General features: G+C 46.4%; 3 long non-coding RNA genes and 2 pseudogenes across 5 annotated transcripts in view; 4 read left to right on the plus strand and 1 right to left on the minus strand.

Moving 5' to 3' along the window:
• LOC107985327 (uncharacterized) overlaps positions 1-1394 on the minus strand; it is an 84260-nt gene extending 82866 nt beyond the window's left edge. For all 3 annotated transcript variants that reach the window (XR_007067309.1, XR_001753982.2, XR_001753983.2), the window contains exons 1-2: positions 1246-1394; positions 390-471 (exon numbers count right to left, since the gene is read on the minus strand). This is a non-coding gene — a long non-coding RNA (uncharacterized LOC107985327). The remainder of the gene's footprint in view (positions 1-389; positions 472-1245) is intronic.
• Positions 1395-1492: 98 nt separating this feature from the next.
• Positions 1493-11461, plus strand: LINC01872 (long intergenic non-protein coding RNA 1872). Its single transcript, NR_136526.1, has 3 exons — positions 1493-1799; positions 8981-9098; positions 11061-11461. It is a non-coding gene; the product is annotated as a long intergenic non-protein coding RNA 1872 (long non-coding RNA).
• SIGLEC24P (sialic acid binding Ig like lectin 24, pseudogene) lies at positions 11062-11415 on the plus strand (annotated as a pseudogene).
• On the plus strand, positions 12003-13304 carry LOC107985326 (uncharacterized). Its single transcript, XR_001753981.1, has 2 exons — positions 12003-12376; positions 13147-13304. It is a non-coding gene; the product is annotated as an uncharacterized LOC107985326 (long non-coding RNA).
• On the plus strand, positions 12705-13252 carry LOC100420904 (SIGLEC family like 1 pseudogene; annotated as a pseudogene).

The following is a 15158-nucleotide window of genomic DNA, read 5'->3' on the forward strand; positions in this document are numbered from 1 at the left end:
CACACCATCACACCCAGCTAATTTTTTATAGTTTTAGTAGAGACAGGGTTTCACCATGTTGGCCAGGCTGGTCTCAAACTCCTGACCTCAGGTGATCCACCTACCCCGGCCGCCCAAAGTACTGGGATTACAGGAGTGAGCCACCGTGCCTGGCCAGATGCTAGTAGTTTTCAGTAGGTGGAAAGAGGGTCATCTCTTCCCTGGGGCAATATTTGTGGGTAAATACAGTGATCCTGTAGCACCAGCTAGATGGTCATCTTATACTCAGGGTGGACGTTTACGTTAGCCCCCACATGTATAAGCACCTCTCACAGGCAGTTCACATTTCACAGAAATATCAGATGTGCCACCATGTGCCAGATAATGAGGGGAAGAAGTAAGACACTCACCCTGCCTCCGTGGAGTCATGGTCTACATAGACAGACGATGAAGAAATGCAGACGAATTTATAGCTTAAAATGTTGATAAGTGCTAGAAAGAAAACAGGACAGAATACTATGAGAAAGCACAGGAAAGGAAGCTAGGTTGGATTACAGAGTCAGAGAAGGCCTCTCAGAGAAAGTGACACTTGCCTTGAGACCTATAGGATTATTAGGAGCTGGCTAGACAGAGGGAGCAGTAGATCCTAAGCTCTGACATGAGAACAGTTTGGTGAGTTCAGGAGCCCAGAGCAGGCCGCTGTGACTGGAATTGACTGAGGGATGAGCTCCTGAAGGGCCAGAACTTGCAGGCCTTCCAGGGCTCTAGTGGGAAGTTTAGGTTTTGTCCTCACTTATGGAGGGTTATTTCCTCTTATGCTTTGTAATTCTGGAAAGTGCAGATTGTTTGAGAATCACATCCAGTGGAGCTGTGTGAGAATCCTGGGCAGCAGAGGTTTTGAGTTGAGGATAGAAGCCTCTATGTAACAGGTTTGGTGTTTGCTTCTACTAAAGATACATCCTCTGTTTGGGAGGGAGAGGCAGACAAGGCTGGGGAGAGGGAGAGTGCCAGTGTTGGGAAAGAAGAGAAAAAAATGTAGAAAAGGAATAGGAGAGAGGATAGGGATCGGGTTGGAGATAGGTCAGAGATGGGTTTGGGAATGGGAATAGAGAGGCTGGGCTTCATCGTGTGTCTTGTTTTCTCGGTGATAGGGGCCTCGCGTGCAGGACAGGAAACAATGAGTACACAGGGTGCCTTCTGACCAGCCCTGGGGTCCAGCACTAGTCATTTTGTGCCTTAGTTAATGCCTTGACTTCCCGCACATACCAGGTTGAGAGAGGAACGTCCCTTAGCAACTGATTGGCCTGGAGTCTAGAGGACTGGTGGGGGTCTGGAACCAGCTGCCCAAGGAAAACGATTCTCCCAATGTCCGGGGGACGCAGTAGCAACTGTTGCTTCTGACTAGCTCAGGCTCTGGAGACCCGCGCGCTCTCTTATGCGGCTGCGCATCCCAGCAGCTCCCGCGAGAAGGGTCAGGCCCTGATTGGCTCTGGACAAACCCGCGCGAGCTTGCGGGGCGGGGCTTCAAGGGATTGGTATCCCCGTGCAAGGAGGTTGGCGAGGCCTCAGGGGACTCCCAGTTCAGCGAATCCGTTAGCCTTCCTCTGCCTTAGTCACTTCCCCGTGAGGCACTCCGTGTTTGTGTACACGGTTATTCCACGTGTCAGTCAGTTCATCGGGCGCATCCGGAGTCATTGAAAACAGTAATAGGAAGTCAAACAAACCCGCTTGATGCAAAAATTCAGGAGGACATTCGGTTTTTAAGGAAATAGTGCTGAGGAAGGACCAGGCTGGAGCTCCTTGGACCCTGAGACTGGGAGGTAAATATGGAAAAAGAAGTGATAATTTAGGGGGAGGGAAAAGAGATCACCTGTGAAGAAAACTCACGCACACACCAGGGCCTGGAGAAGGAAGTGAGACTGGAAAGAGATCAGAATTTTATTTTTATTTCATTATTTTATTCATCTATTTAATTTGAGACAGTGTCTTGCTCTGTCACCCAGGCTGGAGTTCAGTGGCACAATCTCAGCTCACTGCAGCCTCGACCTCCCAGGCTCAAGCAGTCCTCCCACCTCAGCTTCCAGAGTAGCTGCACCCACAATGCCGGGCTAATTTTTTAAATTGTTTTGTAGAGACAGGGTGTCGCTGTGTTGCCCAGGCTGGTCTCAAACTTCTGGGCTCAAGCGATCCTCCCACCTCAGCCTCCCAAAGTGCTGGGATTACAGATGTGAGAGATCAGAGTTTTTGAATCTGAAGGACCCTTACATAGTCTGCAGTAACCCTCCCATTCTACCGAGGAGGAAAAAGAGGGGGAAGCAGAAAGGGGACAGAACTTGCCCAGAGCTATCCAACGAGTTACTGGCAAAGCCCCAGTTGGAACCAGCCCAGAGCTCTTCCCAACCTTTGATTCGAGGTTGTAAATTAAAGGAGGAGGAGGAAGGATTTTGATAGTGAAAAAAAAGCAAAAGTGGGTTATGATGCAGAGATAGGATTTGTTATCTGGAAGCCTGAGTAGCATCTTGATGTAAGGAGGGAGTCGTTTTTTTAAGAGAGGCAGCGATCAGAATGGAAAAGCAGAGGGCTGGTTCTTGAATCAAAACATCACTGAGAAAAGAGATGAGTCAAGAGCGGTCACAAATTAAATGCTGAGGGAACCAGGCAGGTGATGTGAATGATAAACAGTTGCCTAGCACTTATTTTGTGCTGGCCTCTGTTCTGAGGGTTTTACATGCATTCATTCATTTAATCATTTAATGCTCCCAACAATTCTGTCAGATGAATCCTGTTAAAATCTACATGTTATAAGTGAGGAAACGGGAAACCCAGAGAGGGGAAGTAATTTGCCCACAGTCACACAGCTGGCAAATGGTGGCGCCAGACTTAAACTCAGGCAGGCTGACTCAGCACACGGTCTTAACCACTGTGTTATATGCCCCTCCCAGGTGAGTGCAGCAGGGAGAGCAGGGGCAGCAATGGACTGGAGAACAATTGTCCAATATTAAAGGGGAAAGTTAATATCTGCCATGTGTTGTCAGATCTAATTTATTAAAAAGTAGCTGGGAGTTCAGACTTTTATGTGAGGATCCTGATTTTTAAACATTGCAACTAATGAAAGAAAGTCTGTATGCAGTTTTCTTAATGCAGGCTAAATAAAACCCCCTGCATTTTAACTACCTCACAAAGCCACTAATTTGCAAACTCTAGACTATCTTAAATGAGGAAGCAGTTCCCTAGTGAGGGAAGGGCCTGGCCCAGAAAAACCTAGAAAATGGGAGGCAAAGACCAAGCCTTTGGACTGCTGGCCGTCCACTCACAGAAGAATCTAGAACCCTTCCTTTGAACTGGCTTCACATCCAAGTTGTATGGGTTTCCTGTTGCTTTCATAAGAATTACCACAACTTGGCCGGGCGCGGTGGCTCACGCCTGTAATCCCAGCACTTTGGGAGGCCGAGGCGGGCGGATCACGAGGTCAGGAGATCGAGACCATCCCGGCTAAAAACGGTGAAACCCCGTCTCTACTAAAAATACAAAAAATTAGCCGGGCGTAGTGGCGGGCGCCTGTAGTCCCAGCTACTTGGGAGGCTGAGGCAGGAGAATGGCGTGAACCCGGGAGGCGGAGCTTGCAGTGAGCCGAGATCCCGCCACTGCACTCCAGCCTGGGCGACAGAGCGAGACTCCGTCTCAAAAAAAAAAAAAAGAATTACCACAACTTTAGCAGCTTTTTTGTTGTTTGTTTTGAGACCAAGTCTCACTGTGTCACCCAGACTGGAGTGCAGTGGTGCAATCTCGGCTCGCTGCAACCTCTGTCTCCTGGGTTCAAGCTATTCTCATTCCTCAGCCTCCCAAGTACCACCACACCTGGATAATTTTCTAAAAATATTTTTAGTAGAGACAGGGTTTTGCCATGTTGCCCAGGCTGGCCTGGAACTCCTGGCCTCATGTGATCCACCTGCCTTGGCCTTCCAAAGTGCTGGGATTATAGGCATGAGCCACTGGGCCCAGCCCAATTTTAGCAGCTTTTAAAGTAACACTCATGTATGATCTCACAGAAGGTCAAAAGTTCTGGTGTGGCGTGGTTCCCCTGGTTTTCTGCTCCAGCTTTCACAAGGCCTGAATCACAGTGTTGGCAGGGCTATGTTGCTTTCTCGAGTCCCTTTGGATGAACCCATTTCCAAACACATTCAGAATCAGTTCCATGCTTTGTAGTAGTGAGGTCTGCATTCCCTTGCTAGCTGTCTGCTGGGGTCATTGTCAGCTTCTAGGAGCTGCCCTCATGGGCTCGTGGGTTCGTTCCTTCATCTTCAAAGCAAACAATGGTGAGTCAAATCCTTCGTATGCTTCACATCTCTCTGACCTCCACTTCTGGCTCATGTATGCCCTTTCTTTCTCCTGAATCTCTCTGACTTTTCTGCTTTGCAAGTTTCACGTGATTACATTACATTCACTCAGATAGTGCAGGATGATCTCCTCAATTTAAGATCAGCAGATTAGTCACCTTCACTCTATCAGCAAAGTCCCTTCACTCAGTCAGCAAAGTCCCTTCACTGAAGCACGTAGATTAATGTTTAATTGAATAACCAGGGCACAGGAATCTTGGAATGGGAGACATCTTTAGAATTTTGCCTACCACACAAGTCGAGGGGGAAGACATTTGTAACTCATATGGTGCAAAACTATATGCTTTTCCCACTGTCTTTCTCAAACCTTGTGAGGTGGACAGGACAGTTTGATTTATTCCCATATTTTATACATGAAGCATGGGACTCAGAGAGGAGAAGAGGCTTCAACCGTGATGACACAGCAGTTCTGAAGGCAGCCTGGCATACCGGAAAGAACACTGGGTTCGGAGTCCAGGGACCTACATTATGACTTCAGGATGTCCATTTCTTGGCCCTGTGAACCTGACTAGTTCCTATGCTGTTCTGGGCCTCAGTTTCCTTATCTGCGAAGTGATGCATTGAGAACTACATCACAGTGCTGTTGTGAGATTGAGAATGATAAAGTATGTGAATCTCCAGTGCACAGCACATGGGCCACCATGATTGTTCGGTATTATTTATTTATTTATTTTAAGGTATCTGCAGAGCCACAGCTAGAACCCAGATTTATTTATTTATTTATTTATCTCTCTCTCTTTCTCTCCCTTTCTCTCTCTCTCTCTCTGTCTGTCTCCCAGGCTGGAATGCAGTGGCACAATCTCTGCTCACTGCAGCCTCTGCCTCCTGGGTTCAAGTGATTCTCATAACTCAGCCTCCTGAGCAGTTGGGACTACAGGCGCATGCCACCACGCCTGGCTAATTTTTGCTTTTTAAGTAGAGAAGGGATTTTGCCATGTTGGCTAGGCTGGTCTCGAACTCCTGGCCTCAAGTGAGCTGCCCGCCTTGGCCTCCCAAAGTGCTGGGATTACAGGTGTGAGTCCCCGCGCCTTGCCAAAACCCCAAATTTCTTGGTTCCAAATCTTCTTTCATTTGATAAAGCTTTATTATGCACCAGCTGTGTTCCAGATTGTGTGTTGGGTACTAGAGACACAAAAGTGACTCAGACTTGACTTTGAAAGGTGGACTCCATTATGTCACATAAAGGTACCTTGGGCATGACACACAAAGGCCACCCAGAAGTGGTACACAAAGGTGATTCCAACATGACACACAAAAGATATTTGGACATGACTAATTTTCTCAAGGAACTCACATTCTGGTCAGAATAGATACAGAGTTACTTCCCTGCGTACTGTGAAGGGGCAGAAGCTGACCAAGGAGAGAAAGAGAAACAGAGGGGAAGTAGGGTTAGGTAGTATTTCTAGCAGTCTGCCAAAATCTGTCAAATTTTGGAGTTTATTTTGACAGTAAAGTGAAGCCAACAGATGGTAACGAACAGGGAACTGACATGATTGATTTATAATTTAAAAGGATGCCATGCAGATGTGGAAATGTGAAGGGGCAATGGTGGAAATATCACTGGAACAATGGAGTAATGGAAATTCCACTGTCCTTCCTCAGCTGCAGAGCCCCCTGCAGAGTCTCCTTGTCATCTTCCTCCAAAAGTTTTCTAGGAGTCCCCAAGGAGTCTCCTATGTCTTCACAAACAGGCCCCATTCATCTGGTACCTGCAAGCATGGAAGCTTTACTTTTTTTTTATGGTGGGGATGGAGTCTTGCTCTGTCACCCAGGCTGGAGCGCAGTGGCGCGATCTTGGCTCACTGCAACCTCTGCCTCCCCAGTTCAAGCAATTCTCCCACCTCAGCCTCCCGAGTAACTGGGACTACAGGCATGTGCCATCACACCTGGCTAATTTTTGTACTTTTAGTAGAGATGGGGTTTCTCCATGTTGCCCAGGCTGGCCTCAAACTCCTAGGCTCCAGCAATCTGCCCGTCTCGGCCTCCCAAAATGCTGGGATTCCAGGCGTGAGCCACCACGCCTGGCCTAGGAGTTCACTTTTGGCTAGATTCCCTGGTAAGGCATTTTATCAGTTTCCCAACTAGCGTGACAATCAAATGGAGAAGAGATATGGCAGTGGGCTGTGTGGGGTTGTTACAATAGCTCCACAGGGTCATCAGAAAACCAGGCTCCCCATGTTGTTGTCAGTGACATCCCCAGATCTCTAGCTTTCATTCTCACAGTTGTCTCATAGTCGCCAGGTGGCTGCACCATCTCCAGCATCACGTTCATCTTCCAGGAAGTAAGAAGAGGAAGGTGAGGAGGAGGAAATGATGGTGCTAGTGTCAGAAAAGCAGAACTCCCAAAACTCTCCAGCAGATAGCCTCTTAAGTTTGGTATTTTTAAGTAGACAAGTCTCTCAAAATGTGCGCTCAGTAATCTAGTGGAGTTAAAGATTTCTTTTATTTATTTATTTATTTATTTATTTATTTATTTATTTATTTATTTTTGAGATGGAGTTTCACTCTTGTTGCCCAGGCTGGAGTGCAATGGTGCAATCTCAGCTCACTGCAACCTCCGCCTCCCGGGTTCAAGCGATTCTTCTGCCTCAGCCTCCCCAGTAGCTGGGATTACAGGCGCGCCTGCCACTACACCCTCTATATATATATTTGTATTTTTAGTAGAGACGGGGTTTCACCAGGCTGATCTCAAACTCCTGACCTCAGGTGATCCACCTGCCTCAGCCTTCCAAAGTGCTGGGATTACGGGCATGAGCCACCACGCCTGGCCAGGTTTTTATTTTTATTTTTTTGCATTGTTCATGAGAAAGAAGAGTACGGTCCTACAGATTGGTATACAATTTAGGAAAACAGAGATGTCAATTACAATGTTATTATTACCAGAGCAAGAAATCATCAAATAAGACAACCCGTCAGAATTCCATTTTATTTGGGGATCATTTTCATAAGACATGGAATAATTTCTAACATCTTTGTAGTCTCATAAGACCATTTGGTTTAAATTATTCTTCCAAGAGCAGATTCGTATTACCAAAGACTAGAACAAGTCAGCAACCGTCATGAATATTCATACAAAACTGTATATTGCAGAGGAGAACATAAATGATATTCTTATAAACAGTCTCAGTTTTGCACAACATCAAATCAAATTCCTTGAACCATTTTATAACACAGAACAATATCTTTTGATTTATTGCTGCAGGGGCAGGAAACGTGTCCTTCAACTCTTTCTGAGAGTCATGTACTTTATTATGAAAATTTATGTTTTTAAAACCAAGTCCTGGAATTTTATTAGCTAGTATTACATGAAAAAAAAAAAAAACCCTTGGGAGCTCAGTTGGGATGGCAAAAAAAAAAGGGAGAAAAGCTGAATAGGCTTTTATTCACTGATAGTAATTTGATAACATTTTTCTTCTCCTTGGCTCACTGGCCAGAACTCTGCCATATGGCCACCCTAGATGAAAATGAAACAAGAAAATAGAGATTTTATTTTTCAGATTGGTGGCTTGATCACCTGGACAAATTTGAAATAACAAGGAGGAAACAGAGGTTGAATATCAGGTAGGCAACTCTCAGGGTCTACCTGAGATATTGCCCTAGAGGAGATGGATAGCTAGGGCTGCTGAAGACAGTCTGAGAGAGGAGGCTTCTTTCTGGTTGTGAGATCCAGGAGAGAACTTCCAGGAGGAGGTTACATTTGACCTGGACTTGGAGAGAGAAGGAGGGTTTGAATGTGGGCAAAGGACAGAGCTGCAGAAGGACGCCATGACACGGGGAGTGGCCTGAGTAAACAGGCGGAGGAAGGATGTGCGGAGCATCTGTAGAAAGGATCCCCATTTCAGCCGGTGCATTGGCTCCCGCCTGTAATCCCAGCACTTTGGGAGGCCAAGGTGGGCAGATCACCCAAGGTTAGGAGTTTGAGACCAGCCTGGCCACCATGGCGAAACCCTGTCTCTACCAAAAATACAAAAATTAGCTGGGCGTGCTGGCAGGCACCTTTAGCCCCAGCTACTCAGGAGGCTGAGGCAGGAGAATTGCTTGAACCCGGGAGGCAGAGGTTGCGGTGAGCTGAGATCGCGCCACTGCACTCCAGCCTGGGTGACAGAGCAAGACTCTGTCTCAAAAAAGAAAGAATGACAGGGTGCAGGCATGGGGGCTATCGAGGTAAGGGAAAAGCGGGGCAAAATCAGGGAGAGCTCGAATGAAAGGCAAGGGAGTTTGGAATGTATCCTATCAGCCGCTGAAATATTGTTTATTTCTCAAATATCTCTCTTAAATATATCACCTTCTCTTTGTCCCCCATAGCTATTGTTGCAGCTCAGACTTCATCCTCTTTCTCCTGGACTGTTGCTTCCTCCTCACTGCAGACCCAGAGGAACCTTTCGAACACCCAAACCCGTTCTCCCATGGTTCAAAACCATTCCATAATTTCCATGACTTCCCCCATTGACGTGGGAGGGAGTCCGAGCTCCTCAGCTTGGCATTTGAGGCTCTTTGAAGAGGTAATGGAGTGGGAATGCAGACTAGAGACAGGAAAGCAGACATGGTGTTGAGGCTTCACAAAGAGCGTGCGGACAACCCCTGTTCTTTTGTTTCTGAGGCAGGGTCTCGCTCTGTTGCCCAGGCTGGAGTACAGTGTTGTGACCACAGCTCACTACAGCCTCAACCTCCCAGGCACAAGAGATCCTCCCACCTCAGCTTCCTGAGTAGCTGGAACTACAGGCATGTACCATTACACCCGACTAATTTTTTTTAACATTTTGTAGGGAGAGGGTCTCCCTACATTGCCCAGGCTGGTCTCAAACTCTTGGGCTCAGCCTCTCAAAATGCTGGGATTACAGGTGTGAGCCACTGCGCCCAGCCCAAACTCTGTTCTTGAAGCTCCCCAGCATCTGGTCCCATCAGGCCCCTAATTCACAAGATTCGCAGACCTTAGGGGTGGATTGAAAAGACAAGAGCCCCTAGCAAGCAGTGGACTTCTTTCTAGCCTCACCCCATGCTTCTTACTGCTGCCCCTCTCCTCATCCATTCCAAATCCTGCCCTCCAGGACAGACCAATCTGAGGTCAGAGTTAGCAGCAGGATACATCCTGGTCCTCTCTTGCCCCTGAGATCTCGCTGGGGCTGATGGCACTGCCACTGCTATGGTTGGGTAAGTAGAAGGAGAGGCAGCATGGAGGTGTCTTGGGGAGGTAAGGGTGGGTGGAGTTGGAAGGCAGACAGGGCTGAGGTAAGATGAAGGCTGAGGTAAGATGAAGTACCTAAAAAATTAGGTACTTGGCCAAGCACAGTGGCTCATGCCTGTAATCCCAGCATGCTGGGAGGCCAAGTTGGGCAGATCTCCTGAGGTCAGGAGTTGGATACCAGCCTGGCCAACATGGTGAAACCCTGTCTCTACTAAAAGTAGAAAAATTAGCCAGGTGTGGTGGTGGGCACCTGTAATCCCAGCTACTGGGGAGGCTGAGTTGGGAGAATCACTTGAACCCAGGAGTGGGTGTTGCAGTGAGCCAAGATCGTGCCACTGCACTTCACCCTGGGTGACAGCAAGACTCTGTCTAAAAAAGAAAAAAAAAGTAGAATCTTTATTCTACAATATAGATCCTCAAAAAACCCTCAGTCTTTGAAGACCAGAGTTCAGGTTCAAGCTCTACCACCTTGAGTAATTCTCTTCAGTTTGCTCACCTAGACAATGGGGTGTTCCCCTTCTACAGAGCAAAAGGAAATTTATTTGTGGAAACCATTCAACCACAACAATCCTAGCTTTCACAAGGCTGTTGGGGAGGGGAGGGAGTTCCAAATGAGCTAATGGGTGGTGAGCACAATTATTCACTAACGGTTCACTATGACATGGTCTCTTGTAATGTAATGTGACTGAAGTCAAAATCTGCAGTTATTACAGAGGGCCATGTGCCTCTGTAGTTATGGTCCTTAATTATCACAATACTGTAGCATTGGTATTATCGTACCCACTTCTCTGATTGAGAAACTGAGATTCAGAAATGATACAACATGACCCAGATCACAAGATACGGTTAATACCAACAAGAAGAGCAATAAAAAATCCAGCAGACTAGATTGGGGTGGTGCAGTTTAGGAGTCCCCCCAAGATGCCTCTGATTCAGTGATCCACAAGAAGGACTCAAAACTCAGCAGAACTGTTTTACTCATGATTGCAGTTGATTATAGCAAAAGAGTACAGATGAAAATCAGTACAGGGAAGAGGTGCATAGGGCAGGGTCCAGGAGAGAGCAGGCATGAGCTTTCAGCTGACCTCTCCCAGTGGTGTTGCACCAATAGAGCTTACTTCTTTCTGCAACAATGTGTGGTGACATGCACAGACATGCCAAGTAGAGAAGTGCACCCAAGCCTTGGTGTCCAGGGTTTTTATTGTGGGTCTGGTCACTGACTTAGCTTAGTCTTCAGCCCCTCCAGAGGTCAAGCTGATGCCCCAGGATCCAGGGCTCCCACCATAAATCATAGTGTTAGCATCAACTGATGAAGTCCAAGGTCCCAGGTAAACAAAGACACTCTTATCAGGCAGGATATCCCAAGGGTTTAGAGATCACCTCATAGGAGTTGGACAAGTGTCAAGCCTTTCTTAGGTAAGGTGACTCTTTTAATGCACAGATATAATACAGGAGTATGCTAGGTGGGTCTGTTTTTCAACTTGGATCTCTCCTTACAGGGCTACTTTCTCATGTTTTGATGGAAGTCAAGAAGATACCAGTGGAAGAGGGGCTGTGCACTACAATCCCTTGTGCATTTGAATTTCCCAAAGAACCCCCAAGCAATTCCATGATCATGCACTACTGGCTCAACAAAAACATCAGCTCCCTGGTAGCTACAAATAAACCCAATGCTACCATTGGTGATAACACCAAGGACAAATTTTACATGACTGGGAATCTTGATGAAGAAGACTGTACCCTACTCATCCACGATATACTCAAAGGGAACAGCATAATATATTTATTCTACGCAGATCTAGGAGAACAAAAAAGTGCTTTCCTGGGGGAGAATATCAAACTTTTTGTGTCAGGTGATGTTCAATATCATCCGATAAGTGGTTTGGAAAGAAGGAAATCCAAAAGTGGTTCTGGTGATTATGTGGTTTTTACCTGATGGGCACTGGGCTTTACAAAACCTTAGGTATTTGAGTTTTATAATGATGCAATGAGATCAGTATAATAGGTAACTTTACTTTTCCAAATAGAAATGGCAAAGAGAGAAGCGATTCACCCTATATCATCCAACCAGTACAAAATAGAGAGGAAATGATCACAGATTGGGCTGGGAAGGGGCAGAGTCTAAGGGAGAACTGGGCTGGAAAAGGGAGACAGAGTAGGAGCTACCACTAGCACATGTAGTCTAGGACTCAGGTAAGGGGTCAGAATGTAGAATCCTCATTCTACAATGTAGAGCCTCAGAAAACTACTCACCCTCAGTCTTTGAAGACCAGAGTTCAGGTTCAAGCTCTACAACCTTGAGTAGTTCTCTTCAGTTTTATCACCTGGACGCTGGGCTGTTCCCCTTCCACACAGAGAAAGGAAATCTATTTGTGAAAAACCATTAAACCACAACAATCCCAGGTTTCACAAGGCGGTTGGGGAGGTGAGGGGGTTGCAAATGAGCTAATGGGTGGGGAGCACTTTGTAACCTGGAAACGTTGTGCATCAGTGAAGTGTCCATGAGGGTCCCTTTTCCCCCAAGGTTTGGGTCTACTTCTCTCTTCTCCAGAGCTAACCCAAAAGCCAGAGCTCCACATGCCAGAGATTCTTTTGGCTGAGAAGACTGTGACCTTGAACTGTACCCTCAAAGGCACCTGCAAAGAAACCAAAGCCCTCTTCCACTCCCGGAAGAACCCAGCCATCTCCAGCAGCTCCTCCTCGGTGCTGCACTTCACCCTGAGGCCTGAGGACCATGGCAACACCCTTGGATGTCACTTGAACTTATCCCTAGCCAACGTGACCAGAAGTAGCTTGGTCAAGCTCCAAGTGGTCTGTGAGTGCTGGTGGGCACAGGCAGGATCCTGAGAAATAGTGGGCTCAAGAAAAGACCTGAGCCCCAGAGGGAGAGAAGTCTTAGGAGCTGTCACATCTTCCCCCTTTGGGAAGACCTTTGGGGCTGAAAGGCCAGAGGTAGGAGCTGAGCCCAAGTCTGAGGCAGATGTGGAGAGAGGATGAAAGGGGACTGTTTTGAGTCCCAGCCCCACTCTGGGTTGCCAGAAAGTCTTTCTGAAGCTCCCTGTGAATAGCAAGTAAAGAGAAGGCTGGGTCTTAGGGGAAGTAGAGAAGCAAAGTCAGGACATCTTGATGATCCCTGATTCTTCCTCTGCACAGCACCTGCCAGGTTGTTCAATTCCTCTTGTTCCTTGGAGAAGACAGTTCTGTGCAGCTGTTCCTTCCACGGGATCCCCACGCCCTCCGTGCAGTGGTGGATGGGAGGTGTCCCTGTGGCTGTGAACAGCATGGATAACATCCTCCGGGTGACTTCTTCCACATGTGCCCCCTGGGCCAACAGCACCATCAGCCTCATTGGGGAGCCAGAAAGAGTCATGAGACTTCACTGTGAGGGGAAGAACCAATATGGAATTCACACTTCCAGCATCTTCCTGATACCAACTGAGTATCCAGGGACCTAGTGACTGAGCTGGAAAGAACACCTAAAGACCAGATGCAGATGGGCACAGGGCCGGAGGAAAGGGTAGAGAGTTTTAGCTCAGACTTTAAAGCCTTTGGAGAAAGGTGAATCTCACTTCCCTCCAATTCCAGATAAGAAATCAGTTTCCAGTGTGTTCGTGAAAGGATTAATCCAGGGCATTGTATATGGAGCCATTGCATTCTCATTGCTCTTCTTCTGCCTCATCCTCTTGTCGTGAGTATCAAAGTTCAAATTCATCAGCAGCCTTTCCCAAAGCCTACTACCTTTATTTATGTTCTCCTTTTCCTTCCTCATACTTTCTTCCAATTTATTTTGCTTTGTCTATTTTTTTTTTTTTTTTTTGAGACAGGGTCTCCCTCTCTCACCCAGGCTGGAGTACAGTGGGTCAATCACAGCTCACTGTAGCCTCCACCTCCCTGGGCTCATATGATCCTCCCACCTCAGCCTCCTCAGTAGCTGGGACTACAGGTGTGTGCCACCACGCCTGGCTAATTTTTGTATTTTTTGTAGAAATAGGATTTCACCATGCTGCCCAGGCAAGTTTCCAACTCCTGGGCTCAAGTGATTGACCCACCTCAGCCTCCCAAAGTGCTGTTGGGATTACTAGGTGTGGCCCACTGCCCCTGGCCTTGTCTACCTTTTAAAAATGGATTCTTATATCGTTAACTTTCAGCTACTCTTCTTTTTCAGTATTTGTATTTAGGGCTATAAGTTTCCCTCTAAGCATGACTTTAGCTGCATCTCACAAATTTTAATATAAATATTTCATTATCATTTGGTTAACATATTTCTAATTTCCATTATGATTTTTTGACTCATGAGTATTTTTTGTTTGTTTGTTTTTTGGTTTGGTTTGGTTTGGTTTGGTTTGGTTTGGTTTGGTTTGGTTTGGTTTTGAGACAGAGTTTTGTTCTTGTTGCCCAGGCTGGAGTACAATGGTGCGATCTCAGCTCACCACAACCTCTGCCTCCCAGGTTCAAGTGATTCTCCTGCCTCAGCCAACTAAGTAGCTGGGATTACAGGCTTGCGCCAGCGCACCCAGCTAAATTTTTTGTATTTTTAGTAGCGGCGGGGTTTCTCCATGTTGGTCAGGCTGGTCTTGACCTCCCAACCTCAGGTGATCGCCTGCCTCAGCCTCCCAAAGTGCTGGGATTACAGGCGTGAGCCACCGCCCCTGGCCTGACCCATGAGTTTCTTAGGCACATTACTCTCTTTTTAAATTTTTAGCTTAAACCGAATAAGGTCAGAAAATATACTATGCATGATTTCAATTCCTTATTTTCTTTGTAACACATTTTTTGTCTCGTTTTTATAAATATTCCATGTGAACTTGAAAAGAATGTATATTTTATGCCTGTCAAATGCAGTATATATATCTCTCTGTGTGTGTGTCTGTGTGTGTGTACACAATCACATACATATACATATATACCCTTTAAATCAAATTCATTATTCATGTTGTTTAAATCTTCTCTACTTGGACTGACTTAATTGCCTGCCTGCTCTAATGATAAGAGATATGTGTTTCTAATCTCCCACAATGATTGTGGATTTGTTTGTTTCTTCTTGAAATTCTGTCAGTTTTTGCTTTCTAAATCTTGAGGCCATGTCATTAGCTTCAAGTCTATTTTAAAATGTGCATACAAGGCCGAGCATGGTGGCTCACACCTGTAATCCCAGCACTTTGGGAGGCCAAGGCAGGTGGATCACTTGAGGTCAGGAGTTTGAGACCAGCCTGGCCAACATGGTGAAACCTCGTCTATACTAAAAATAAAAAATTAGCCGGGCATGGTGGCTTGTGCCTGTAATCCCAGCTACTTGGGAGATTGAGGCAGGAGAATGGCTTGAACCCAGGAAGCGGAGGCTGCAGTGAGCCGAGATCATGCTGCTGCACTCCAGCCTGGGCAAGAGAGTGAGAGACTCTGTCCCCCAAAAAAAAAAAGTGCATACAAGTATCTTCCTTATATCAGATACCATTTTTCTTCTTCACCTTTGTATTAAAGCCTATTCTGTCAGATATTAGTATAGCTCCACCAGCTCCTTCTTTTACATCTACTCTCAATCTGTGATCTGAAGGTTTAGTTATGTGTTTCATAATCAGCATATGATTTTGACTTTTTTT

This window comes from Homo sapiens, chromosome 19, assembly GCF_000001405.40.
Source record: "Homo sapiens chromosome 19, GRCh38.p14 Primary Assembly".
In the NCBI taxonomy this organism is placed as follows: Eukaryota; Metazoa; Chordata; class Mammalia; order Primates; family Hominidae; genus Homo; species Homo sapiens.